Here is a 27,801-nt window from a genome sequence, read left to right as displayed (position 1 = left end):
ATTGCTTAGCTTTAATGGGTAAATTGTATGATGTGTAAATTCTATCTCGATAAAGCTGTTATATTAAAAAATATATATGAGAACCAAAATAGGCAGGGATACACATTCCTTTTCAAGTACTTTAAACATGAAGAATCCAGGTTTGGACCGGGTTTGGTAGCTCATGCCTGTAATCCCAGCACTTTAGGAGGGCAAGGCAGATGGATCACATGAGGCCAGGAGTTCGAGACCACCCTGGCCAACTTGGTGAAACTCTGTCTCTACCATGATAAAAATACAAAACTTAGCCAGGTGTGATGACACGCATCTGTAATCCCAGCTACTCGGGAGGCTGAGGCACGAGAATCGCTTGAACCTGGGAGGCGGAGGTTGCAGTGTCTGAGATAGCACTACTGCCCTCTAGTCGGGGTGACAGAGAGAGACTCTGTCTCAAAAAAAAAAAAAAAAAAAGAAAGAAAGAAAAAAGTAAAAAAAAGAATACAGGCTTATTATAGTAAACTTGTATACAAAAAATTGGTCCAGTGTTTATATCAATTAAATGCCACAACAAATAGGAATAAAAGCATGATCTTACATGCTTATAATGTTCTTCTCTTGTCAAAAAACAACTTTAAAAAGCAGCTGAAACTGTTAGTTAATATTATCAGAAAGATCTACATATCAATTATGCCTAAAGCCATTATTTTTGGCACTCACACCATAAATCTAGACTCTAGAGTGATAATTTTATACCATCTGCTCTTAAACTTGAACATGCATCAGAATTACCTGGAGGGCTTGAGAGAATACAGATTGCTGAATGCCATCCCAGAATTTCTGATGCAGTAGGGTTGGGATGATGCCTTTAACACGTTTCCAGGTGATGCTGATTCTGCAAAGCCTAGGAACCACATTTTAAGAGCTCCTTATGCTATACTAATCAACTTAGTTGTCTTGTGGTCATAATTACGGCTAACTTATCCTGATTGGGTCAAATACAGTTATACTCAAAAATCAAACCCATTATATAAGGCATATGGCAGATTAAAGTTGCAATAGTAGAAGCATTGCTTGATTGAAAAAGGGTATAAGACTCAGCAGTGTAATGAATAGGCCAACTCTTGAATTTGAAATATACAGTAAGACTTAAGCAGTGGTAGCAGGAGCAGAATTGGAAGTCCCAAAGAAAGTCAGACATCAGGCCGGGCATGGTGGCTCACACCTGTAATCCCAACACTTTGGGAGGCCGAGGTGGGTGGATCACCTGAGGTCAGGAGTTTGAGACCAGCCTGACCAACATGGAGAAACCTCATCTCTACTAAAAATACAAAATTAGCCAGGCGTGGTGGCACATGCCTGTAATCCCAGCTACTCGGGAGGCTGAGGCAGGAAAATCACTTGAACCTGGGTGTCAGAAGTTGTGGTGAGCCGAGATCGTGCCATCGCACTCCAACCTGGGCAACAACAGTGAAACTCCGTCTCAAAAACAACAACAACAACAACAACAAAAGTCAGATGTCAGCGAATGAGATTAATGCCAGAGAACTAGAAGAGACATTAATAGAGTCCTGCTCCTTGAAGAGAGTGGGGGGAAGCAACGAGATGACAGTCACTCGGGCATCACTGCATCTTAATGGGTTTCCAGTTCCTAAGCCACATTCTCATTCCCATGTGGCCCAGTGATGCAGCAGTAAGAGGTTGTCCCAGCACAACCTCTGACACTTGGATGTGCTGCTATTTCTGCAATGCTGCGAGTTTCACTGTGTCACTAAGATATTTGTCCTCGTGATTTCCAGTGTTAATCCCTACAGTAACCTGTCTTTACTTGAGATATTTGAGTGGGTATATTTCTTTGAAAGCTAATTAACAAATTCCAAAAAGATCTTAATGTGACAGGTTGATGGACCAGCTCTAACAAGTTGATTCTTAATATAGATATGCACTTATTACAGGATTCTAATTTGGTATTTGATAACCACATGAAGTACTAGACAAAAAGAACACAACAAAATAAAAATGAACTTCTGTTAATGCTGATAGAAATATACAAATAGAAAAAGAAGATAGCACCTATACTACACTAGGTCAAAACAAATCTGATTTTTGTGTTCAGTTATCACCATAATTTCAACAAAAGCAAGGACAAAACAAGGGCATGCCTAGAGTAAAGTTAAAGGGTATAGAAATCATGTAACTGATTAAGGGTTAAAGCAATTGACATGTTTAGATAAGAAAAGTTAAAGAAAGGTAGAACAGGAAATGAATATAATGTTTGTTTAATGATTTACTGCTGCCCTAAATAGCATTCGCTGCTTAAAAAAAATTAATTCCATAGGCCAAATTTCAGAAACTCGGATGACTGTATATCCCTCTGAAATATATCCAGCATAGATTAGCAAATAGAACATGGCTGCCCATGAACTCCTTATGCTATACTAATCAACTTAGTTGTCTTGTGGTCATACTTACAGCTAACTTACCCTGATTGCGTCAAATATAATTATACTCAAAAATATTTTGTTAGGTCAGTCGCCATAGCTCACACCTGTAATCCTAGCAATTTAGGAGGCCAAGATGGGAGGATTGCTTGAAGCCAGGAGTTTGGGATCAGCCTGGGCAACAAAGTGAGACCTCATCTCTATAAATTTTTTTTTTTTAAATTAGGCAAGTGTGGTGGTGCATGCTGTAGTCCCATCTACCGGGGAGACTGAGACGGAAAGATCGCTTGGGCTCAGGAATTCAGGTTAGAGTGAGCTATGATCATGCCACTGTACTCTAGCCTGAGCGAGAGGGGGAAACCCTGTCTCAAAAAAAAGAAAAGTGTGTGTATTATCCCAAAAATGCATTTCTGAAGTACTGAAATAACCTATAGTTTGAACTATTGTTTTCCAAAATAATTTGACTGTAGTTCTCCCCCCTTTTTGTGGTAATATCTATTAATAGATATTAATTATTCCATAGAGTTCCATAGAATTAATGTTCTGTGGAACACAATTAGGAAAATGTTACATTAGACATAGCATATACAGTTCTGGGTAAAATTAAAAAGTAGCAATTAGTATAGAAGACTTACATCCAATGTAGGGGATACTTGTATTAATTAGAAGAGTCCAAAAGCATAATGGGTAGCCCATCTGGCTGAGAACCCACAGGAAGGGTTTTCAGGGAAGGCTGGATTACCACTTGTTAGCATTTCTGTTGACGGGATACATGGTTTGAGTAATTAGCTGAATTAGATCAGTAGTTCCCACATTCTTAGATCTATGAAAGCACACATGTGGAAATCAGAGGTGGAACCCCAATTTAGGGCTAACCACTTCTGATTTTATCAATTAGTGACATCAATGATCATTTATTATCACCTTCATTTCACAAAAGAATGTCCATTTTAATAACAAAAAGTCAGGAAGGACATCATTTTCAAACTAAAGGAAGAAAGTAATGTTAGGCCAATAACTATCTTTATTTTTCTCATTTTGAAGTCTTAGGCCAATATTATTTTTATTTTTCTCATTTTGTAACAAGATTCTTTGTCTTCACTAGTCCTTGATCATGAACTCAGGCTTTGTAACCCTGTCTTTTATGATTTCACAGCTTCGTTCTACAAAATTCTCTACAATTTTAGGGAAATCCCCCGTCAATGTCAGGTAATAATTTACGATGATGAGAAAAGGCTAAGGGACAGTTAGAAAGGGCAAAAAAGGACAGAACATGAATCTGAGGATATTCCTCCAAAGGGTTGATGTTAAAAATCAACAGGACAGAATGGGAACAGGGTTGTTTTATTTTCTTGAATATCAGGAATGTTTTCACCTTAGCTCAAATGAGCCACAGCGCTAATTCACAGCTGGAAATATATCCTCAAAACTCCTCAGTGACCAGTAAAAAAATGTCGGTATACAGAGACTGAGGTGAGAAGGGCACTTGAGCCCAGGAGTTTGAGACCAGCCTGGGTAACATACTGAGACCCTGCCTTTGAAAATATTTTTAAAATTAGCTGGGTTGGTGGCATGTGCCTGTAGTACCAGCTACTCCAGAGGCTGAGGTGTGAGGATGGCTTGAGCCCAGGAGTTCGAGGTTGCAGTGAACTATGATCATGCCATTGCATCCTGGCCTGGGCAGCAGAGCTAAGGCACCACATGTCTTTAAAAACGTGTCTGCATATGGTAGGCACAGAATAGCCTTATAGGAACCAAATGATGTCACCTCTTTTTCTAACACTGGGCTTTGCTTTTCTTTTTAACCAAACTCTTCAACCAATATTGTATACACACTCTCTGTTCCAAGGCCTAGCTGGGAGTCAGACTGAAAGCACTAATGAATGTCCAGCCATTTGTGATTGCAAAGCACCTGTTGAGCACCTGGGACCAGAATTGTGTAACATGACCCCATCCCTTTCCTAGTAGTCAGATGTCTCGTGGATATTTCAACTGGGAAGCTGAGGTTTCATGTGTCTCCCCATATATGTTCTGATGATAACTATAGCTCAAAGTTTGACTTCAATTGATCTCATTTATAACCTGCTAAATATATGTTTTATTCTCCAAATGCTTAAAATTTTAATTAAAAAAAATCTATGGAGGACTATCAAACAAACCTTCAAGAAAATTACTTTCTTATTTCATGAGAACCTAGAAGTAAACAATGAATGCTTTCACAATGCAAGCAAACTATTTGTCATTAAAAGTACGACAAAAACCACAATTACTTTTGCACCAACCTAATAATAGATGGCTTTTAAATCTTTTTATATCATCGTCTTTACAGTGACTTAAAATATCTAGCTAGTTTTCCATAAAAACACTACTAGCAATATTACAGATTGAAAAAGATCATCAAAATTTCAATGAGCCTGATTCTATGCAAATTCTGTATCTGAATGTAATTTAATGATACTATAAAAACCTCAGGGAAAAATATCTAAGTGAAAATACACACAGGGACGTCACTTAGTCTGAATTTCAATTTATTTTGTCATAGTCATGAAAGCACTTTGTATCAGTAATCTAAAATCAAAAAGTAGTTAACCTAATCTAATTTTTTGTCAATTGTTGGAGCAAAACCAATTTTCAATTACAGCGGGAGTCTATGAGGCTAGTGTGCACAACGCTGAAAAACCATCTGGAACAATAATATTCCTCCTACATGAAATTTATCAGCCAGAAAAGATGGTGGACATCTTAGAACCTCAGCCTTCTGCTATGAGCTCATAGCTGAAATAGGGAGGCCTGGTGAATCTGGCTGTTTATAAAATCGTCTGTCAGTGGAGATTATTCTGTCTCTGTTGCTGCTGCTAGGCTGCTCTGATTACTTAGCACTGAAGTTGCTAAAATCATGGACCATTTTATCTAAACAGACCTAGATCAAAGGAAAATGTTCACTTGAATTCAACCTTGTATCTATAATTAATAGTTTGAACTCACTAAATATCATTTATGTGACCTCTGTAAGTATAAATGTGAGAACATTTAACTTTCCAAATTCTGAGAAATTAAAACACATTCAAAGGCTCAAACCTAGTTATTATGAAAAATAGATATTTCTAAATACTTGGAAATAGCATTAGCAAGTTAGATGGTATTGAACAATTAACTGATTTTGACCATAATAAAAATGAGTTTGTCTGACCCATCAGTAGGAAAACTTTAATGCTACCCAATAAAGAAAATGTAATCATTAAAAAGAGAAGGAAAATGCATAAATGTTAAATATGACTATAAAGCAGTAGTAGGAAAAAAGTAATTATAACACTATGGTGTATTTCCCAGACATCAAATGGCAAATATCCAGGGAAGAAGATGATTAGCCATGCTCCTTATATAGGCAGTGATCTATGTGTGTCTAGTAAAAGAAGACTCCAGTAGGCTGTAATATTTGTATGCTTATAAGATCATTTTTAGCCCTTTCTAGGCAATTATGTAATGTTTAAGCTGTTTCAATACACTGAATCTACCAACCTAAGTGCCAAATGAAGGTGGGAGATACACGAGTGACTTCTGTAATACGGATCATATACCATTGACACTACTTTGGCTAGGAGCCGATTTTAAGTAATTCCTATTACATCAGTAATTCCAAACTTTTTGATTTTACATTCTGATTTTTAAAAAAGACATCAGGGCTGGGTGCAGTGGCTCACACCTGTAATCCCAACAGTTTGGGAGGCCAAGACAGGCAGATAACTTGAGGTCAGGAGTTCAAGACTGGCCTGGCCAACATGGTGAAACCCTGTCTCTACTAAAAATACAGAAACTAGCCAGGTGTGATGGCACACACTTGTAGTCCCAGCTGCTCAGGAGGCTGAGACAGGAGAATCACTTGAACCTCGGAGGTCGAGGTTGCAGTGAGCTAAGATCATGCCATTGCACTCCAGCCTGGGTGACAGAGGGAGACTGTCTAAAAAGATATTAAAGAACACCCTATCTTCCATCTATAACCAGTACCATAGAAGAAACCATATTTTACCATGAAAAGTATAGAAAGGTCATAATTTTAGAATAAAGTGAATTTTATCCAAGAAGGATGCCTAGTAATTTTATGCCAACATTCTCTCCATAACATGTTAGCACCTGGATGGGTACTGTGTTATACCTGATTCCTCACTAAAACCACACGCACATTAAACAACCAGTAAAAAAAATTTATTGTTTAATGCACTTTTGTGTTTACATATTGAAATTAGCCTTAAAGTTTATGGGAAAGGGAGGGGATTTAAAAATAAGCATAAAACACAAGTTGGGCAACTGTAATACAGCCATCCCTTAGTATCTATGAAGGATTGGTTCCAGGTCCTACCAAGGATACCTAAATCCAAGGATACTCAAGTTCCAGGTATAAAATGATACAGAACTTACATATAACTATATACATCCTCCCAGAGACTTTAAATCATCCCTAGATACTTATAATACCTAATATAATGCCTACACATTACTTCATTCATGTGGATTCAACATAGTACTTGCTGTGGGCCAAATTCAAATTTTTAAGAACTTTGTAAATTTTTTTCCCTGAATATTTGCAATCTGAGGTTGGTTGAATCTATGAATATGGAACTCATGGATATCGAGGGTGACTTGTATATTCTGAATTTCCACAATTTATAAAAACATAATTCATCTACTGATAAAAGGCAAGGTAAAATGTTTCTATAGATGACATCTCTTTTATACAGATTGAGTATCCCTTATTTGAAATGCTTGGGACCAGTAATGTTTTGAATCTTGGATACTTTTGGATTTTGGAATATTTGCATTTATGATGAGATAACTCAGGGGTGGCACCCAAGTCCAAACCCAAAATTCACTTATGTTTCATATACACCTTATACACATGGCCTGGAGATAATTTTATATAATATTTTCAATAATTTTTTGCATGAAATGGTTTTGACTCTGTTTTGACTGTGACCCATCACATAAGGTCAGGTGTAAAATTTTTCATTTGCGGCATCACATCAGTACTCAAAAAGTTTGAGATTTTGGAGCATTTCAAATGTTGGGTTTTCAAATTAGGGATGCTTAACATGTATCATAGGGGAGAGGCCAAGATGGCTGACTAGAAGCAGCAGTGTTCTAAGGCTGCCATCGAAAAAAAAAAAACATAATAAGCATGTGAATTCTTTACCAGCAACCAAGGTATCCAGGTTCTCTCATCAAAATTGATTAGAAGGCTGGTGTGACTCACAGAGAGAAGGAAGAACAGTGTGGTGTGGCAGGCCACCTGAGAGCCACAGGGAGATGGGGAACCCCCTCCCCCCAGCCAAGGGAGGTGTTGATTGAGCACACTACCCAACCAGGGAAACTGCTTTTTCCATGAAACTGTGCTACCCACAGATTGGAAGATACCAGTTGCGAACCCATGCCACCAGGCCTACTGTTCCAACCCTGGAACAGGCAGATTCTTACAGCCTCTCAGCTGGAATCTGCCTAAGCCTGCTGAACTCCTGGGGGGAGGGGCAACCAGCACAGTTGTGACTGCCTGCTGTCTAAGTCCTTTGAGCTCCTTGTGGGAGAGGCAGCAGTCAGCACTGGGACTCGCAACTGCCTAACAAGCTAAGCTCCCTGGGCAGGGGAAGGGCAGCACCCATTTCTCTAGTTCCAGGCTGTGCTTTTCCCCTGCTGGAGCCAGGGAGGCTTTGTCTCAAGACTTGTCCCCACAGCCCAACACACCTGCTGTGGCAGTCTGCCACCAGAGTGTTTCTTCAGGCCTATCCTTCCTCATTGGGTGAGGCTTCCCTGCAGGAAGAGTTATTGGAGAACACAGTACAATCAAAGTAGAACTCAGTATCAAGAAACTCACTGAAAACCACACGATTTCATGGAAACTGGAAAACCTGCTCCTGAATGACCCCTGGGTACATAATGAAATTAAGGCAGAAATCAAGAAGTTCTTTGAAACCAATGAGAACAAAGAGACAACGTAGCAGAATCTCTGGGACATAGCGAAAGCAGTGTTAAAAGGAAAACTTATAGCACTAAATGCCCACATCAGAAAGCTAGAGAGATCTCAAATCAACACCCTAACATCACAATTCAAAGAGCTAGAGAGGCAAGAGCAAACTAATCCAAAAGCTAGCAGAAAACAAGAAATAACTAAGAGAAGACTTGAAGGAGATAGAGACACAAAAAAACCCTCCAAAAAAATCAATGAATCCAGAAGCTGCTTTTTTTTTGAAAAAACTAACAAAATAGACTGCTAGCTAGGCTAATAAAGAAGAGGGAGAAGAATCAAATAGACACAATAAAAAAAGATAAAGGGATATCACTACTGACCCCACAGAAATAAAAATTACTATCAGAGAATACTATAAACACCTCTATGCAAACAAACTAGAAAATCTAGAAGAAATGGATAAATTCCTGGACGCATACATGCTACCAAGACTAAACCAGGAAGAAGTCAAATCCCTGAATAGACCAGTAACAAGCTGTGAAATTGAGGCAGTAATTAATAGCCTACCAACCAAAAAAAAAAAGCCCAGGACCAGACGAATTCACAGCTGAATTCTACCAGAGGTACAAAGAGGAGCTGGTACCATTCCTTCTGAAACTATTCCAAACAACTGAAAAGAAGGGACTCTTCCCTAACTCATTTTATGAAGCCAGCATCATCCTGATACCAAACCCAGAAAGAGACACAAGAAAAAAAGAAAACATCAGGACAATATCCCTGATGAACATGGATGGGAAAATTCTCAATAAAATACTAGCAAACCAAATCCAGCAGCACATGGAAAAACTTATCCACAATGATCAAGTTGGGTTCATCCCTTGGAAGCAAGTCTAGTTCAACATATGCAAATCAATAAGTGTAATCCATCACATAAACAGAACCAAAGACAAAATCACATGATTACCTCAATAGATGTAGAAAATGCCTATGATAAAATTCAACATCCCTTCATGTTAAAAACTCTCAATAAACTAGGTATTGATGGAATATATCTCAAAATAATAAGAACATTTATGACAAACCCACATAAAATATCGTCTTCAATGGGCAAAAGCTAGACTCATTCCCTTTGAAAACTGGTATAAGACAAAGTTGCCCTCTCTCACCACTCCTCCTCAACATAGTACTGGAAGTTTTGGCCAGGGCAATCAGGCAAGAGAAAGAAATAAAGGCTATTCAACTAGGAAGAGAGGAAGTCAAGTTGTCTCTGTCTGCAGATGGCATGATTTTATATTTAGAAAACCCTATCGTGTCAGCCTCAAAACTTCTTGAACTGATAAGCAACTTCAGCGCAGTCTCAGGATACAAAACCAATCTGCAAAAATCAAAAGCATTCCTTTACACCAACAATAAGCAAGCAGAGAGCCAAATCATGAATGAACTCCGATTCACAATCACTACAAAGAGAATAAAATACCTAGAAACACAGCTAAGAAGGGATGTGAAGGACCTCTTTAAGGAGAACTACAAACCACTGCTCAAGGAAATAACAGAGGACACAAACAAATGGAAAAACATTCCATCCTCATGGATAGGAAGAATCAATGTCGTGAAAATGGCCAAACAGCCCGAAGTAATTTAGAGATTCAATACTATTCCCATCAAACTATCACTGACATTCTTCACAGAATTAGAAAAAAACTATTTTAAATTTTATATGGAATCAAAGAAGACCTCGTATAGCCAAGACAATCCCAAGCAAAATGGACAAAGCTGGAAGCATCACACTACCTGACTTCAAACTATATTACAAGGCTACAGTAACCAATACAGCATGGTACTTGTACCAAAATAGACATATAGACCAATGGAGCAGAACAGAGACTTCAGAAATAACACGACACATCTACAACCATCTGATCTTCAACAAACCTGACAAAAACAAGCAATGGGGAAAGGATCTCCTATTCAGTAAATTGTGCTGGGAAAACTGACTAGCCATATGCAGAAAACTGAAACTGGACCCCTTCCGTCATCTTATAAAAAAATTAACTCAAGATGGATTAAAGACTTAAATGTAAAACCCCAAACCATAAAAACCCTAGAAGAAAACCTAGGCAATACCATTCAGGACATAGGCACAGGCAAAGGCTTCATGACTAAAACGTCAAAAACAATTGCAACAAAAGCCAAAATTGACAAATGGGTTCTAATTAAAATAATGAGCTTCTACACAGCAAAATAAACTGTCATCAAAGTGAACAGGTAACCCACAGTATGGGAGAAAATTTTTGCAATCTACCCATCTGACAAAGGTCTAATATTCAGAATTTACAAGGAACTTAAACATATTTACAAGAAAAAACAAACAACCCCATCAAAAAGTGGGCAAAGAATATGAAAAGATACTTCTCAAAAGAAGACATTTATGCAGCAAACATATGCAAAATAGCTTAACATCACTGATCATCAGAGAAATGAAAATCAAAACCACAGTGAGATACCATCTCATGCCAGTCAGAATGGTGATTATTAAAAAGTCAGGAAACCATAGATGCTGGCAAGGCTGTGGAGAAATAGGAATGCTTTTACACTGTTGGTAGGAATGCAAATTAGTTCAACCATTGTGGAAGACACTGTGGTGATTCCTCAAGGATCTAGAACCAGAAATACCATTTGACCCAGCAATCCCATTACTGGGTATATACCCAAAGTAATATAAATCATTATACTCTAAAGACACATGCACAAGTATGTTTATTGCAGCACTATTTACCATAGCAAAGACATGGAACCAACCCAAATGCCGATCAACTGCAGACTGGATAAAGAAATCATGGTACATATACACCACGGAATACTATGCAGCCAGAAAAAGGAATGAGATCATGTTTTTGCAGGGACATGGATGAAGCTGGAAGCCATCATCCTCAGTAAACTAACACAGGAACAGAAAACCAAACACCGTGTGTGTTCTCACTCATAAGCAAGAGTTGAACATTGAGAACACATGGACACAGAGAGGGAAACAACACACATCAGGGCCTGTTGGGGGGTGGGGGTTGAGGGGAGGGGTCTTAGAGGACAAGTCAATAGGTGCAGCAAACCACCATGGCACACATACACCTATGTAACAAACCTGAAAACTGTGCACATATATCCCATTTTTTTAAGAAGAAACAAAAAATAAAAATAAAAAATAAAATAAAATGCAATAAAACAAAACAAAACACATACCATGTCCTTAATTATTCAGATGTGTCAGATTTGTTGAATCTCTTAAAATGTATAATAATGAGAAACTGGTTATATTCATGAAAATGGTTTTCCATTACCTTGGTATCTTTTCTTTTTTTATTATATCTTATTTTTCTGTCATATGTTTATATTAAGGATACAATATGAATTATTTTCATAAACTTTGAAGAACATAGAGAAATCCTTTTGAATTTAGAAATCAGATCATGTCAAGACTCTGCTTTCAACACTCAATTATTCCTATCACTGAATTTCTCTAAATTTACATTTCATATGAACTCTCACCTGTAACCTAGTAAGGGAGGGCAAAATTTCCCATCACATTTAGAACACACTCCAGTCTTTCTCTTGGCCTACATGCCTCCCTGCTACCTCTCTAAGCTCAGTTCCTGGGACTCTCCCCCTTATTGGCTGTTTTCCACCTACCTGGCTTCCTAGACAGTTCCCCAAGCATACCAGATACTTTTCAGTCTCAGGTTCTTTGTCCTTTCTGTTTCTCTGCCTGAAATGGTTTTCCTCTAAAAGTTGTATAGTTCATTTCTGCTTAAATGTCACTTCTGAGGAGCCTCTTCATACCAACTCCCCAATCCTCTACCATCATACTCTATCTTTATGAGCTGCTTATTCTTCAAAATACATATCACTATCTGTCATGCTGACATATTTTTTATCTATATCTGTCTTCAGCACAGATATAGATAAAAATTAATCTAAGCTTCATGAGAGCAGAAATTTCTGTCATTCATCATTCTCTCCACAGCATTAAAAATAGTACAATGTAGATGCTCAAAAATTTGTTGAATAAAGAAATGAATGAATATAAATATTTTTAAATTCTAATTTAATAAAAATAATATACTGCCTGTTTAGAAATAAATTATACTAATTTATCTCTAATTGAGCAAGAATTATTTTAAAATTATTCATTCATAAACTAACTTTAAATTATTCTCAAAGCTCATATCAATGAACCTACCCTTAAAAGTGGAACATAGATCGGGCGTGGTGGCTCATGTCTGTAATCCCAGCACTTTGGGAGGCCAAGGCGGGCAGATCACGAGGTCAGGAGATCGAGACTGTCCTGGCTAACACAGTGAAACCCTCTCTCTACTAAAAAATACAAAAAAATTAGCCGGGCATGGTGGCACGCACCTGTAGTCCCAGCTACCTGGGAGGCTGAGGCAGGAGAATCCCTTGAACCCGGGAGGCGAGGATGCAGTGAGCCGAGATCGCACCACTGCACCCCAGCTTGGGTAACAGGGCAAGACTCCGTCTCAAAAAAAAAAAAAAAAGGGAAACATAAAACTCAGTGTAAATGAATGCATTGAATTCTTTTATTGACCATATAATGGTAATGAAAAGTGATTGTTTAAACTGGAATAGTTTTATAATCAAGCTGGAAATTTTAAAAACAAATAAAAACCAAACAAAATGTAATACATGAAAGAAGATGGAGAATGTATCTATTCTTTTTTTTTTCTCTTCCTCAGTTATTTTCTCTTAATTTATGCTCCCCTAAACTTGAGTTACTCTACTCTGTCTCTTCTCCTTTACAAGCTGACCATTTCCACTTAACAGGAAGATTCTTTGGTTTCAGGCTCTCACACCCACTTTCTTCTCAGTACCGTAATGGAACAGTCATTCATTCAACATGAACTTACCACTGAGAAATACTCATATTATCTCACAGCTAAGCTTTTCCTATCACACAGAGTTCTCCTTTTAAAAAAAATTAGAAATATCAGCCTTATATTCATGTCTAACCTTTCTCTTTATTTTTTTTACTAGGATAACACAATGTTGATAATTTTATACACTTACAGAAAATAGTGTTTAAGACTTGACAGTCAATTTTATTTGATCATGCTGAAAGTAACATCTCTTAGCCTACATAACTATTTTGATAACTAAATTATATCGTAGACGATTTGCTGGTCTTTTACCTAATTGTTCAAGTCCACAAATGGGTGGTGTTTAGAAACTCTAGCCTTAAGGTTTGGAATGGACTACCCAGTTTTATGTTAAAGCTTCTACAGTCTAAGGAAATATTGGTGTGATAATTCACTGTAGATCTTCCACAAGAAAGTAAATTATGGTTCATTTGAGAATGATGAAAAGTCTTATTTCAAAGCATAAATCTAAATTATTTGACCTGGATGATATTCAAAAGGAAGATGATATATGTGACCCATTATCAACCCCTAAAGAACACTTGATTTTCATGTTTATATTTTTCCCCAAACCTGGTTGTAAGCTGGTGATAATCAATCAATTATTTCTAATGACTTATGACCAATGGCAAGTTTGAGAAGGAGGGCTGGTCAAGGTTACAGGTCTAGTAGGCTTTGGAAAAGAAAGAGAATAGAACTTATTAGTCCCTGTGGGGTTTGAACCTGCAACCTCAGGCTCATTAAATGCACAGGAAATCAAACTCCTCTATCTAGACCAAAACTTACCAAGCAATTCCTTTCAAGGATGTGATTTATGTCTAGTTGGCATTAGTTTTTAAAGACAAAATTAAAATATAGTGTTTTACTAATTATTTGACTATTCAAAGAGAAATAATTTGAGGGAGATACAAGAAGAAAAATATCCAAGTCTCTTATAAATGTCTAATTTTTAAAAAGTTATTCTAAAGGCACATAGCTCAAAGCCAAAAAATGGTTGCGGATTCTAAAAATGTAGTGTATTTAATTAAAGTGTCAATCCCAAATCAAAATAGTATTAATCATTTTACTAATGAAAGACTTTCAATTTGAAAAGGCATAGTTTGAATAGAAAGACATTGGCATTTTGTAGAATTAATTAAATTTAACTTTAACCCAAATAATGATACTTTACCTTAAAGTTTTATGTAATTTGGGAGGACACATTTTTCATTCCTCTTGAGCTTTTGTTTTGGCTATTCTATTCTTTTTTTTTTTTCTCTTCCTAGGTTATTTTCTCTTAATTTATGCTCCCCTAAACTTGAGTTACTCTACTCTGTCTCTACTCCTTTACAAGCTGACCATTTCCACTTAACAGGAAGATTCTTTGGTTTCAGGTTCTCAAACCCACTCTCTTCTCAGTACCGTAATGAAACAGTCATTCATTCAACATGAACTTACCACTGAGAAATACTCATATTATCTCTCACAACTAAGCTTTTCCTATCACACAGAGGTCTCCTTTTAAAAAAAAATTAGAAATATCAGCCTTATATTCATATCTAACCTTTCTCTTTATTTTTTCCTTCTTGACAACAATAGACCCTTCAAAATTCTGACTTTTCCTCCTTTACTATAAAACCGGGGCTAATAACTTCCCTTACAATCTCTATTTATCCACATTGTTCCCCCTGCAGGTCCTGATTGTTCCACAAATAGAGACAGTTCAAGTCTCTACTTCCTCTGCCATTGCAAATACAAGTACATTAGTATTGTCCCTGAGAGCCTGCAATTTAGCAGCACAAATAGGACAAGTAGTTTGCAAAACAGTGGCTATAGCAATTTTTGAGATAAGAGTTTGATTTCCCCATTCCACCTCCTTAAAATGAAGTGGCTGCTTCTGTCTCTCCAGAATTTTCTCATCCTAAATGCAGGTGCCAAAGAACAATATAGAATGATTCAACTTCTTCATTTATTCATTAAATAAGAAGTTAGACATAAATATTATAAGTAATGTGAATAATCTGACAAAGAAAACTTTCTGCATTTCTAATTTTGCATTTTTCTGAACTCTAAAATTCTAAAAAAAAATTATTACTTTTTTTGTTTTTGTTGTTGTTGTTGTTGTTTAGAGATGGAGTCTTGCCCTGTCACCCAGGCTGGAGTGCAGTGGTGTCATCTCTGCTCACTGCAACCTCTGCCTCCTGGTTTCAAGTAATTCTCCTGCCTCAGCCTCCTGAGTAGCTGGGACTACTGGTGTGCGCCACCATCCATGCAAATTTTTTGTATTTTTAGTAGAGATGGGGTTTCACCATGTTGGCCAGGCTGGTCTTGAACTCCTGACTTCAAGTGATCCACCCGCCTCGGCCTCCCAATGTACTGGGATTACAGGCGTGAGCCACTGCACCCAGCCTAAAAAAAATCATTATTTTTGGATAAAGAGAATAATTCAAATGTATTTATTTCCTATTAAAGTGTTATTGAAATTGCCAACATTCATAATAGTATTTTAAATGATATACATATGTAATGAAGATCATTCACCATTTCTAAATTTAGTCAAAACATTAATAACTTACCCAACTTAGGCTTTGTTATTTTTCCAATCTGTAGGCATGCAAAACGGAATATTTTGTTGACTTCTGATAAAATTCTACTAACAAACTGCAGTATTTCCCAGTTACCAGCACATTACTTGATGTTTATGAGGAACTAAATCTGGGAAAAGGGTGAGCATACATAATGGACCCTTTTCTAAAACTGAAAAAAAAAAGAAGATGAATTAACAAGTCTCTTTCGCAGAAACGTTATTTCTTCCAGGGCCTTGATGTCTACAATCCAGGTAGTTGCAACAAGATAGGGCTCTGCTGCATACCCTGAATGGCACAGTACTTTGTGACCAATAATCTCTGAATAATTTTCCCCACAGCAGAAATATTTACAATCGTATAAAAGAAAAGTGGAAGCTATCTGAAGGTCCAACCTAGATGGCTAAACAACACTACTGCCCTGCAATGATACACCAGCCTCTATAGGTGATGATGTGGCTCTATATCCACCAAATGGAGTGAGGGCCATAGAAACTGTTCACTAAAAACAGAAGATGGCAAAGTATCATACATGTTTTGAGTCTAATTTTGCAAAAAAAAAAAACGAATATATGCAGAAAATAATATACATAAATGTTTTAAACAATGGTTTTCTGTGAATTATAAGATTTAGGTCATTTTTAGTTTCTGCTATATAATTTTTCTGTAGTGTTTGACCATTTGCAATTAGTTTATTTCTTTATATTAAGGAATAAATGCAAGAGGTGTATTTGTATTTCTGAAAAATAAGTCATTTCATCCCAAGCAGGCAAAACAAATATCCCTTTTGTTTTCAAACACATTCTGCACGTACCTTTTATCTTTTAAAGCGCTTATCACATTAAATCAGAGCTATTTGATCACTTATCAGTCTTCTGGCTTATAAATGAGCTCCAAAAAGAGCAGTCATTACTTTTAACCAATACTGTTTCCCTGTGCTTAGCACAGGACATGGCATGTTATAGATGCTCACTAGTTTTTGAGTGGCTACTTGGATTCTGCCTTTCATCCAGTGACTTCTTTCTCCCATACATGGCTCTAGAAGAATTACTATCACCTCCACAAGATGCTGTCCAGTCTTTAACAGATTTGGGGACCAAAATTAAAGTGTGTGCAGGCATCACAGTGAAAAATAATTTGGGTCAAAAAGATGTCATCTTGCAAAATCAGTTGAGCCTTCACTAGGATCTCTATCAACATACTGAGACCCTCCACTACTAAACCAATTCCTTGCTAATCTCCAGGCCCTACTACACACTAAGTTCCCACTATTTTAGTGTTACTGTACATATGCTGACCAGTATTTTGTCTCCAATTACTTATCCATGCTACCAGAAACAATTCTTTCCCTCAGATTAGCCTGGAACCTGTCACTTATTCGTAGTTTTCTGCAACAGATTCTGCGCATCCCTTTGTTTCTATTTCAACGAGCATCAACTTACTCATTGTCTCTCTCTGATCATTATTTACTAAATAGGAAGATTCATGAAACAATCAAGTTCCACTATTCCTTTTTTCCAACTGAGACTGTAGTTTCCTGGAAACTTGGAAGTTTCCTAGATTAAATATATTTCTTAGATTTTACATGAAATGGCTAAATTATTTATATATTTTTTCAAGTATCATACACATAACTATTAGAGCAAGAAGTTTCTTTAATGTATAAAAAGATAACTTTCTTATACAGGGTATTTAAAAGCTGGGAGAATTGCTTAGGTATTTGTAAATATGCCTGTAACTATACTAACCTATGCTTTTAAAATTCCTAGGTTTTCTACGAGAGTCACAACAGGCATCCTGCACTTCCCACATTAACCTCAGAGTTACATTTTAAAATCAACACGTGGATATGGTCAACTAATACGATGTCATAGTAGGCAGACTACACTGTTCACAGATTGCAGGAAGTTTTGACTAGAAGCTCAGTGGTAACATTGACAAGACAGCCAAGCAGACAGAGTCTGGCAGAAGTGGAACTCAGAATCATCGGGGCAAACATTGGCAGTGCTAATCCAACTCCTAGACACGAAGAAGCTGCCCTGCGAGGCTGACCTCTGTGTTTAGCAGGTGGATCCTCTATTGACAGGTGTATCCTGCCAAGTGTATCCTATCCTGATTCCTTTGAACACTGGAAGCATGTAGCTCTCCTTGTTATGATTATATGGTTATCAGCCAAACTTCTGATTTAGATTCCCATGTAGTTTTCCACAACAGTTAGAGAATGCACTAGTCAGGCTAAATCAAGCATGGCATACACTTAAATGTTACATGTCTTATTTTAAATTAGTAATCTTTCAACCCAGTTAATTTTCCCATATCAGTCAATATTTTCATGTCTTTGTTTCTGGATTTCAAAACAGAGAGCCCGATGAGGGACTATAACAGCTTAACTAAATTAATGTAATGATGAGTTACTGTGCATTCCTGTTAAAATATTTATAAAACAATAATCCCCAAAATAAAAATTAGAAGATGTTAGGAATATAGAAGAATTACAAAGGTTATTATAAAAAAAATAGAAGGTTAACGATGTCTAAACTAGGTATCAGTGACATAAATCAGTGACTCGTTTTGCATGCTTTAGATTTACTTTCTTGTCTCCTTTGCTGCCAGCACTTGGGCAACCCAAATGCTAAGTGGGAGAATGAGGATGCCAAACACCTCACAGCTGCATGGTGGGGGTGACACTGGTAAAACAAATTAATAGCTCCCTGCATGGAAATCTAATGCAGAACACTAGCTAGAATCGAGGATAGTGCTGATAAAAATATCCAAGAATCATTTCTATAAAATCTGAAGCTGTAACATGGAAAGAATTCTTACAAATTCCACATAGATGAATTCTATAAGATAGCCTCACAATTTAAAGCTTTCTTTTAGAAGGATAACATTTATTTACCATTGAATTACCTGCTTTGCATTTTTTCACTCATTTCCAAGCATGCACTTACAGAATATCTACTAAATTCTAGGTGCTGTGCTGGACAATTGGGCTGGAACCATGACATGCAGTCTCTCTCTTTGCGGAGTTCACTGTGTTTTGGAGCAACAATCATATCCTCATATCACATCAAAGCAGTTAATAGAAGCATGCACCGAGGCCAGGCCTCAATGTTAGTCCTGCCCTGACCCTGTGAACCAGGCTGCACTGCACACTATCTTGAAATACAACAATCATACCTGTTTCAATCTCCTGCCCTTTCCTTTTCCTTTCCCCAACCCTCCTGTCCCCCTTCTTTGACATGCTCCCTGCTTTTTGAGAATTCATCTCCTACACACAATTTGCCAGGAGTATAATTCCTTTAAGGAAACGTGTCAAGGTCTCCCAGGAGCTCAAAATGACTCACAGGTTCTACAAAAATTACATTTTTAAAAACTTTTAATTTTAATAATAATATAATAAGAAAACATACTGTGCAGTAATAATTCAAAGTTTAAATGAAATTTGTTTGATTATACTTTAGTTTCTTTAATGCTTTTTTTTTCAAACTGAGATTCTTAGCACCCAGGCCAAAAGATCCAAGGATATCTTCTAGGGAGTCCATGAACAGTGGGTCCTTCAGAAACATGACTCCGAATCTAAACAAATAATTACATCCTTGCCCTAAAAAAATTGCTGACTTCACTAAAAATAAATTTATGGAGCTAAGTTGAGCCAGTAACAACTGTTTAATCTGATGCTATCTACATTTCCAGCACAAATTGAAGAGCAAGGATAAAATGAATTCTTAAAGAAATGGAAAAAATTACCAGATTTTCCTTATATTCATGTATTGAATACTGTAAATTTATATAAATGTCACTTACTCATCTCGTTATATAAAAAAGTCAAAGTTCAATAAAATACCTTCAAATTTATCCCTACTAGTATTGTTCTTCATTGCTATAGAAAAGCTCATTTTTTGTCAGAAAAATATCCTTACACTTCTTTTTTTAAATCCCAAACAGCTTTTAAACATGCACTGAAAGTCAAAGATTATTTAGAATGCCAGCTATTTAGAGATGTGCATCTATAACAAATTTTTCTATTCCGTATTTCAGTTCTATTCAGTTTAATCTGGGTAGATTTGTTGAAATATAAAACCTGAAGCAAAGAAGTACTGATGAGCAAATATCTACCCCACACTGGCAGCCACCCATATAGCTTGCTAGTCCTATATCTGGGAATATACCGATAGCAAGGAATACTGAAAGGATATAATATTACTTCTCTCTCCTAGGGTGTGCTGGGAAGAAAGGTATTGGAGGTCACTGGGATTCAGTGCGAGGCTTCAATCCTTTCCAGAGCCCCCAGATATCATAGCACTGAAAGTGTCAGACTTCTAATCCTAGATTGCTTTCTTTACGCTAACATGGGACAATAATCTTTGGAAACCAGATTTTTAAGTTTTCTCTCTGCCCAAGTTCTGCCTGTACGACTCCCTCAGAAAATACTGCTCATGATATATTTTCATTTACATTTAAGGCAAGAAAACCATTCACTCACCATGATAGATTAGACACAGACATTGCAGCAACTTGTTGAGGAGTCTTCTCTCGATTCCAGAACAGGAAATTAGCAGGTCAAGTCGACAACACCGCTAAAAATTTTAGCTTTGCTTCTGGAATGATGCACAAACCACTTAGTTACTCACAGTTTGAGAGGACCTATAAAGAAAAGAAATAAATGAATATCTCTAGTACCTGGTCTATGTGGTTTGTCACAGATTTATTTCATCCAAATCAATGGTTTTGTCATGGTATAAGATACACACAAAAAATATGATCTTTTTCTTAAAATATAAGACATGTAATAAACCAAAGATAAAATTAAACCAACCATATGATAAGCTGAATGCTTTACTTTTAAAACCATCTGAACAGTTAATAAAATGTTAAATCCCCGGAGTAGAGAATTCAGGGAAATGAGAGAATGTGATTTGGAGGAACCAAATATTTTCTCATATGGTTATACTCTCCAAATCAGTTTTATATACCTGTGATAAAAAGATTAGAACAAAGATCCTGATTAGCCCATAGCAAAGAAAGAAAGAAAGAAAGAAAGAAAGAAAGAAAGAAAGAAAGAAAGAAAGAAAAGAATTCCATGACACAAGTTGCCATCACACCCAAGGCTTTAACAAAATATTATTCATTAAATAATTTAGTGAATTAAATTATTCGCTAAATAAGACGGTGAATTAAATTATTCACTAAATTATTTAGTGAATTAAATTACTCACTAAATTATTTAGTGAATTAAATTATTCACTAAATTATTTAGTGAATTAAATTATTCACTAAATTATTTAGTGAATTAAATTATTCCACTAAATAATAGGAAAAATGATTTATATTGATTAACATGGGGGAGATAAGCCAGGGTGTTATGTATGTAACAAATATGACAAACATCTCCACACATGTATTTTGACATCTACTATAGTGTCCTATGATTTTGAATCAAAATCAATCAAATTAATTCCATAGTACTGTTAGCACTTTATTCAGTCAGGTCATTAATCCAGTGTTTTTCAATTAAACAAATACCTATTGAGCATATCCTATGTGAACGTACACTATCCTAGCTTTAGCTCAGGGATGAATGAATAAGACATTGTTCTTGTGCTCAAATAATGTTTTATGTAAAATAAGATGATTTCAATAAAATAGGGAAAGTGTTCTAATAAAGGCACATACAGGGCATGTGGGAGCACAGAAAAGGGGGCTTCCAGCCCAGTCTCAGGGAGTTGGGAAGGATTTCCAAAGATGTGCCCCAAATGACTACCATTAGGCTGGGCTACAAGTTTAAGAAAAAGCCACTAAATAAAGTGGCTTAAAAAAAGTTTATTTTTCTTTCATACAAATAAATCTCGACCTGAGAAGGCCAAGGCATATATGGCAACTCCATGGACACCAGGGAAGGAGGTGTATTCTTTCTTGTAGTCCACCCTTCTCAATCATGTGTTTGCCTTCGTGGTCCAAGAGGTTGCTGAGCTCCAGCGAATATGTCTGCATTCCTGCCAGCAGAAAGGAGGACGAAGAAAAGAAGGATGCTTCCTAACATTTACACATGACATTTCTGCCTACATTTTATTGGCCTGAGTTTAGATACTTGGCCACTCTTACTCTAAAGACAATTGGAAAATGCAGCCATTATTCCGGGCATCTAGTGTCCTAACCGTAAACCAAAGTGCCTGTCGGTAAGGAAGGTGGGGAAGTGGATACTGGCAGAAAACTAGCAGCGTCTGCCACCACGTTTGAGACTTGGTGACCTTGACCCCCAAAGTTTTGTGGTTTTTTTACTTACTGCAAAGCGGAAAACATGGGGCAAAGGAGAGATGGAATCAGTCCATTGTTTACTGACAATTTTACATTTTATATTTATAATTTTAAATATCAAACTTCAGCTTCCTTAAGTCATTCATAAGCAAACAAAATATTTCTCGTGCCCTATTACTATTAGTATTAATGATACAAGGATTAATAAAATATAATATTTACCTATAAAAAACCATTTAACATAGAGGCCATCATATTTTTAAAAAAGCACAAAAATAAAGCACACTCTGAAAATTGTTGTGTGCATACAAGCGCATATGAGTGGCTATCAAGGAATAAAGCAAGAACCATGATTTTAATGAATTCTAATTTTAGCTGGACCCTGACTGCCAGAATAATAATATTGGCCTGCCAGTGAAGTAAGCAGCTATGAAGTTTCATCCACATCCTAACTTGTCTGTTTACATTCCAAAAGAGGCTGTCTATCCTGTCCTTGGTAAAATTGTTACGGCATATAGACTTACATCTGTAAAGGCAAAGGAACTCCAAATTCTGACACCACAACAGTTAACTTCAAAAGTTTCCAAGCTGTATTGCCTCATTTTTATCGAGGGTTCAGTTTACCAAAAAAAAAAGCATATATATACACACACACACACACATATATACACATATATATGGAATATTGTCTGATGCAATTCATTCTTCTAGATATATTTAATTCCATCTTTAGAGGACTGTGTATCTGGATGTTGTTATTTTCATACCTAATCAAATTGCTTTTACTAAATTACACTGTGGAGTTTTGCCAAGTTTGCATTGAGAGACATCATTTAAAAAAAAACAATCAACGAGCAAAAACCCAGACTATGAAATCAACTATTAGGCTTAGTGGACAAGTTGCCAACACACAAATGTTGCCTTTATGAGCACTTAAAGGGAAAAATTGTGTTAGGTCTGAACACCTGTAAAACTATTATTCTAAATTTCTGGGTTGCTTTTCTCCTAGGGTCATTACTGCAACTTACTACACTTCTTTCCTTGCATTAACTTATGGGAAGCTCTGAAACAAACCTGTGACATTTCTTTAGGAAGTATTCAAGACTTCTGCTAACCTTTTTTTTTATTATTATTTTTGCCAACTTCAATTTTAACCTTTTTTTAAATAAGCACACAGATATATACAAACATATGCATAAATATATATATTATTTAATGTAAATACACATAAAATCCCCCTAAGTCCTTTTTGAAATAAGAAAGTGTAAAACTAAAAACCATAAGTGGAGAATTGTTTGCTTCTGCAGAATGTAAAAATAATACAAAAACAAACTGGATCCTAGAATCTTAGATAGAGTCATATGAACCCATTGCTTTTGTAGGTCAAAAATGGTCAAATATTGTCAATGTACATGGTACAATTTAGTATAACTGAAGAGTTGACCAAGATAGACTTAATGTTTCCCTCAGTTTGACTAAACTTTAGGTGGGTTTCTTCCTGTCTATGGCCTCCTGACTTCCTTTTCCTTAGGGTATTTACTTCAGGAAACTTGCAATTGTAAATCCATTCTCTGCCCCTTTGAGATGCAAATCTTGTGTCAACCACCTGTCAGTTTCATAATCCAGTAATGTATTTCTCAAGGACCTGGGAGCCATCCCTTTAAAATGTAGCCATTGAAAAAGATAGCTTTGCTAGCTGCCTCTCCCTGTGGGAGGGTAGAAGTCTAATTTAAATAAGTGCCAATTAGTAAACAAAGATGGCATAATCAAATTGACCAACCATGCCCTCACTCAATGTCCTCTAGAACTTTTCTGCAAGCTCAATCCAGCACTTAAAAACACTTCTGCCTTTTGTTTTAGCGGAGTTGTGTTCAGTCTCTCTCCTCTATTGCAATAATATGGAATCCAGTTTTCCTCGCAGCTGTTTAACTCTGTCTGATGCATTTTTTCTTTGACAGGGTATTGTTTTTAGTCCTTAAAGTTCAGGATAATTTCCTAAGATCCTAACCATAATGTTTAAAAGTGCAATCTTTACTCAATGTCCTTTACCTGCAATAACTACCAACTTGGAATTTGATAAGCTTATATGTAGATTTCTAAAATGAAATAAATATTAAAGAATTGCATTTTTTCTGATGACACCAAAAATTAAAAAAAAGAAAAAGAAAAAAAACTTACATGTTTATAAGTAAATATCCAAGCACACAAAAAAATTTATAGTGACCATTCATAGCAATTATACTAATCACTCTAACATTCATTTTGTTGTTATATCATCTTTCCTTTTCTTTTATAACTTATAACTATCTGATTTATTTTGTCAAGAATAGGCACAATGTGCCTAACAGGCACTCAAAGCTTACTGAGTTGAAAAAAATTAAAAAGCCTGTTATATTTACTTTTTTATGACGTGATTTTTTTAAAAAACCCTGTATTGGGCTTGTTATTTTTTTAATTACATGTAAATGATTGATTGCTTATCAATGTAATCTTTCCAGAGAAAACATCTTTAAAATCTTCACATAAGTTTAAATTTTTTGTTCATTTTGGTGATTCATAATCTTAACACAAATCTCCAACATCATTCTCCACACTTACATATGAATTCATAGCTTTCAGCCAAAATTCTAACATTGCTAAGAGTGAGATCTGTCCCTTTTTCACAAGAGAAAGACTATATCTTCATATTAGAGGAAACATTTTAAAATATATGGAGTGATTTGACTTCCCCTGAATGCCCAGCTATGATATAAGCTATAAGCATAGACACAATTGTTCTCTTTAGGTCACTCATTTAGTGCAATATTAAGGAAAATAGGATGTGAATTTAATAAACCCTCTCTCTTTTAACATATTTATTAAAATGTGAAGAGTCCTTGAATACAACAATGGATTATTGGGATGATACTTTACCAAAATAATCATTTTAATCATTTTATTCATGAATGAGATTTTAGGCTTCAAATCCATCTGAAAAAAAATACTATATTCTAATAAATTCGTTTAGTTGTAATTACTTTGCCATTTCACAAATCTTCTGTGAAGTGATTTTATTTAAGCAAAAGACACATTTTTCTAAACTACTTCTATACATACCTAGATGCTGCTGTATCATTAAGATCTTAAAATTCTGTGAATATCAGTTTAAGTAACCTACCACATAATAAATATAGGTTTTCTATATTTCATATTTAAAACAGTAAATCTATAAAAATGGTTCTTGGAAGAACCAAAATGGTTCAAGGTTTTGACCATAAGCACCATAAGCATTAAGTGTACACAGTGAATGACATTGCCTTGCCTGCAGAAAATTAGGCTTCAATTCCAAAGGGGATACTAAACATTATAGATAATTTCAAACTGGGATATCCAAGGGTCCATTGGATTTTGTTTTAAGAGATGTACTGTGCAGGTAATGAGGTACATATATATTTGAATTCCACTCAGGGCACTACAAGAGCTAATGGGCATAAAATGAAGAATAAAATGCATGAGGTATGAAGAGAAGACTTTTATGCTAAAGATTCAAATAAATGTTAGCAGAGCAAATTATCAAAGAAATATTAGACTCTTTTGAGTTTTACAAGGTGGATTCCTTTTTATTTTCACATAAAATCTAAAGCCTCTTTCTTGTTTTCTGGTTTCCCTATAAACTTACCTTATTGATATTTCCTAACCTAGGCTCTCTACTCTGCTTGAGCTTGCTTACTTACAATGCTCATACCTGAGCTCTGAATATACTATACATTAAAAAAAAAAATGGGCAAAGGGCCTGAATGGACATTTCTCAAAAGAAAGAAATTCTGTCATTTGAAACAATTTGGATAACCTGAAAGATAGTACGCTAAAATCAGCCAGGAACAAAAAGACAAATATTGTATGATCTCAGTCATATGTGAGATCTACAAAAGCAGAACTCATAGAAGCAGAAAGTAGAATGGTGGTTACTAGGGGCGGCAGGCTGGAGGTAGTGGGAAGATGTTAGTCAAGTGACACAAAAAATTCAGTTAGACTAGAGGAATAAGTTCAGGAGATCTATTGTACAACACAACACGGTGACTATAGTTAATAACGATGTATTGCATTCTTGAAAATTGCTAAGACAGCAGATTTTTTAATGTTCTCACCATAAAAAATGATACATTAGTGAGGTAATGGACATGTTCATTAGCTTGATTTAGCCATTCCACAATGTATACATACATCAAAACATCATGTTGTATATCATAAATAGATACAATTTATATTTGCCAATTAAAAAATAAGAAAAAAATTTAATGTAAAAAATGAACAAAATAAAATGTTAGCAACAATATGACTTGAATGACTCAAAAATAATAATTTAGTGACATTATTATATTCTTACACTTGAATTATGAATTTTTGGAACTCCAGGACTTTGGAAGGATATAAGTCAATCATTGGGGAAAGATATTATTTTTCCTGTGAAAATTGATTGTCTATATAGTTAAATTATTATTATTATTATTATTATTATTTTGAGACAGAGTCTCACTCCGTCACCCAGGCTGGAGTCGCCCAGGCTGGAGTACAGTGGCGTGATCTCGACTCACTGCAACCTCCACCTCCTGGGTTCAAGCGATTCACCTGCCTCACCTCCCCAGTAGCTGGGACTACAGGCATGCGCCACCACACCTGGCTAATGTTTGTATTTTTTTGCAGAGATGGGGTTTTGACATGTTGGCCAGGCTGGTCTCTCGAATTTCTGACGTCAGATGATCTGCCCTCCTCTGCCTCCCATAGTGCTGGGATTATAGGCGTGAGCCACCATGCCTAGCCCATAGTTAAATTCTTAATGAGGCACAAAATAAACAAGGAAACCAAACTAACAGTTTTACTTTTCCCTTAAGGTAAACTTTCTCTAGAGACAAGATTTTAAAAGAGGGGGTTCTGCCTTGAATTTTTATAATTTGTGTTATCTTGTTATTAATTCTTAATAAGAAATCTATGCTTATAGAGTAAAATCAAAAGGATATTCGCTGAAGAATAAATATCTCTCCCTTTTCTGTCCTCTGTACCCAGCTATCAGATTTATATCTATATCTACTTCGATATCTATCTATCTACTTGGCTTTGATAAAATGGCAGCCTAACATATACAGTTTTACCTGCACCTTTATTTTTTACATACATACAGTCATAAAGTCATGTACATATACAATATTTCCCCATCAATACACATATAGAGATGCCTCATTCCTATTCAGGATTTTAGAGCATTTCATTGAATGGATTTACCTTAATTCATCAGCCAATCTCATACTGAAGGAGATTGAGTTTGTATGCAATATTTTGCAATTACATAAGATGCTGCAGTGTATATCCTTATACACATGATATAATATCGGTTTATATTTGTGGATAAATACCTACACATAAAATTTCTGGGTCAATCCTATGCACATTTTAAATTCTAAAACACACTGGTAAGCTCCCTTTCATAGAAGTTGTACTAATTTACATTCCTACCAGAAATGTATAAATGTAATCTTTCTGACATTACTGCTTCTTGGAGAACCAACATATCCAGTGGATTTTACAAATACACTTCCTGAAATATACTCATCGTCCAAGCCAGAAGTATATTGTTCCACCCATCCAGTTAATCACTAAGCCTGGTTGATTCTACCTCTGAGATATATTTGGAACACATCCAC

The 27,801-nt window shown here is 36.0% G+C and overlaps 1 protein-coding gene across 2 annotated transcripts in view; it reads right to left on the bottom strand.

Annotated features, from left to right (window-relative positions):
* OXR1 (oxidation resistance 1) overlaps positions 1-27,801 on the bottom strand; it is a 482,517-nt gene that overhangs the window by 372,707 nt on the left and 82,009 nt on the right. For both annotated transcript variants that reach the window (NM_018002.3, NM_001198533.2), the window contains exon 2: positions 20,352-20,512. In NM_018002.3, coding sequence (NP_060472.2) covers positions 20,352-20,374 — 23 coding nt within the window. In that variant the 5' untranslated portion in view covers positions 20,375-20,512. The remainder of the gene's footprint in view (positions 1-20,351; positions 20,513-27,801) is intronic.

Source organism: Homo sapiens, chromosome 8 (genome assembly GCF_000001405.40).
Source record: "Homo sapiens chromosome 8, GRCh38.p14 Primary Assembly".
Classification (NCBI taxonomy): domain Eukaryota; kingdom Metazoa; phylum Chordata; class Mammalia; order Primates; family Hominidae; genus Homo; species Homo sapiens.
This window is presented reverse-complemented; position numbering and strand designations above follow the sequence as displayed.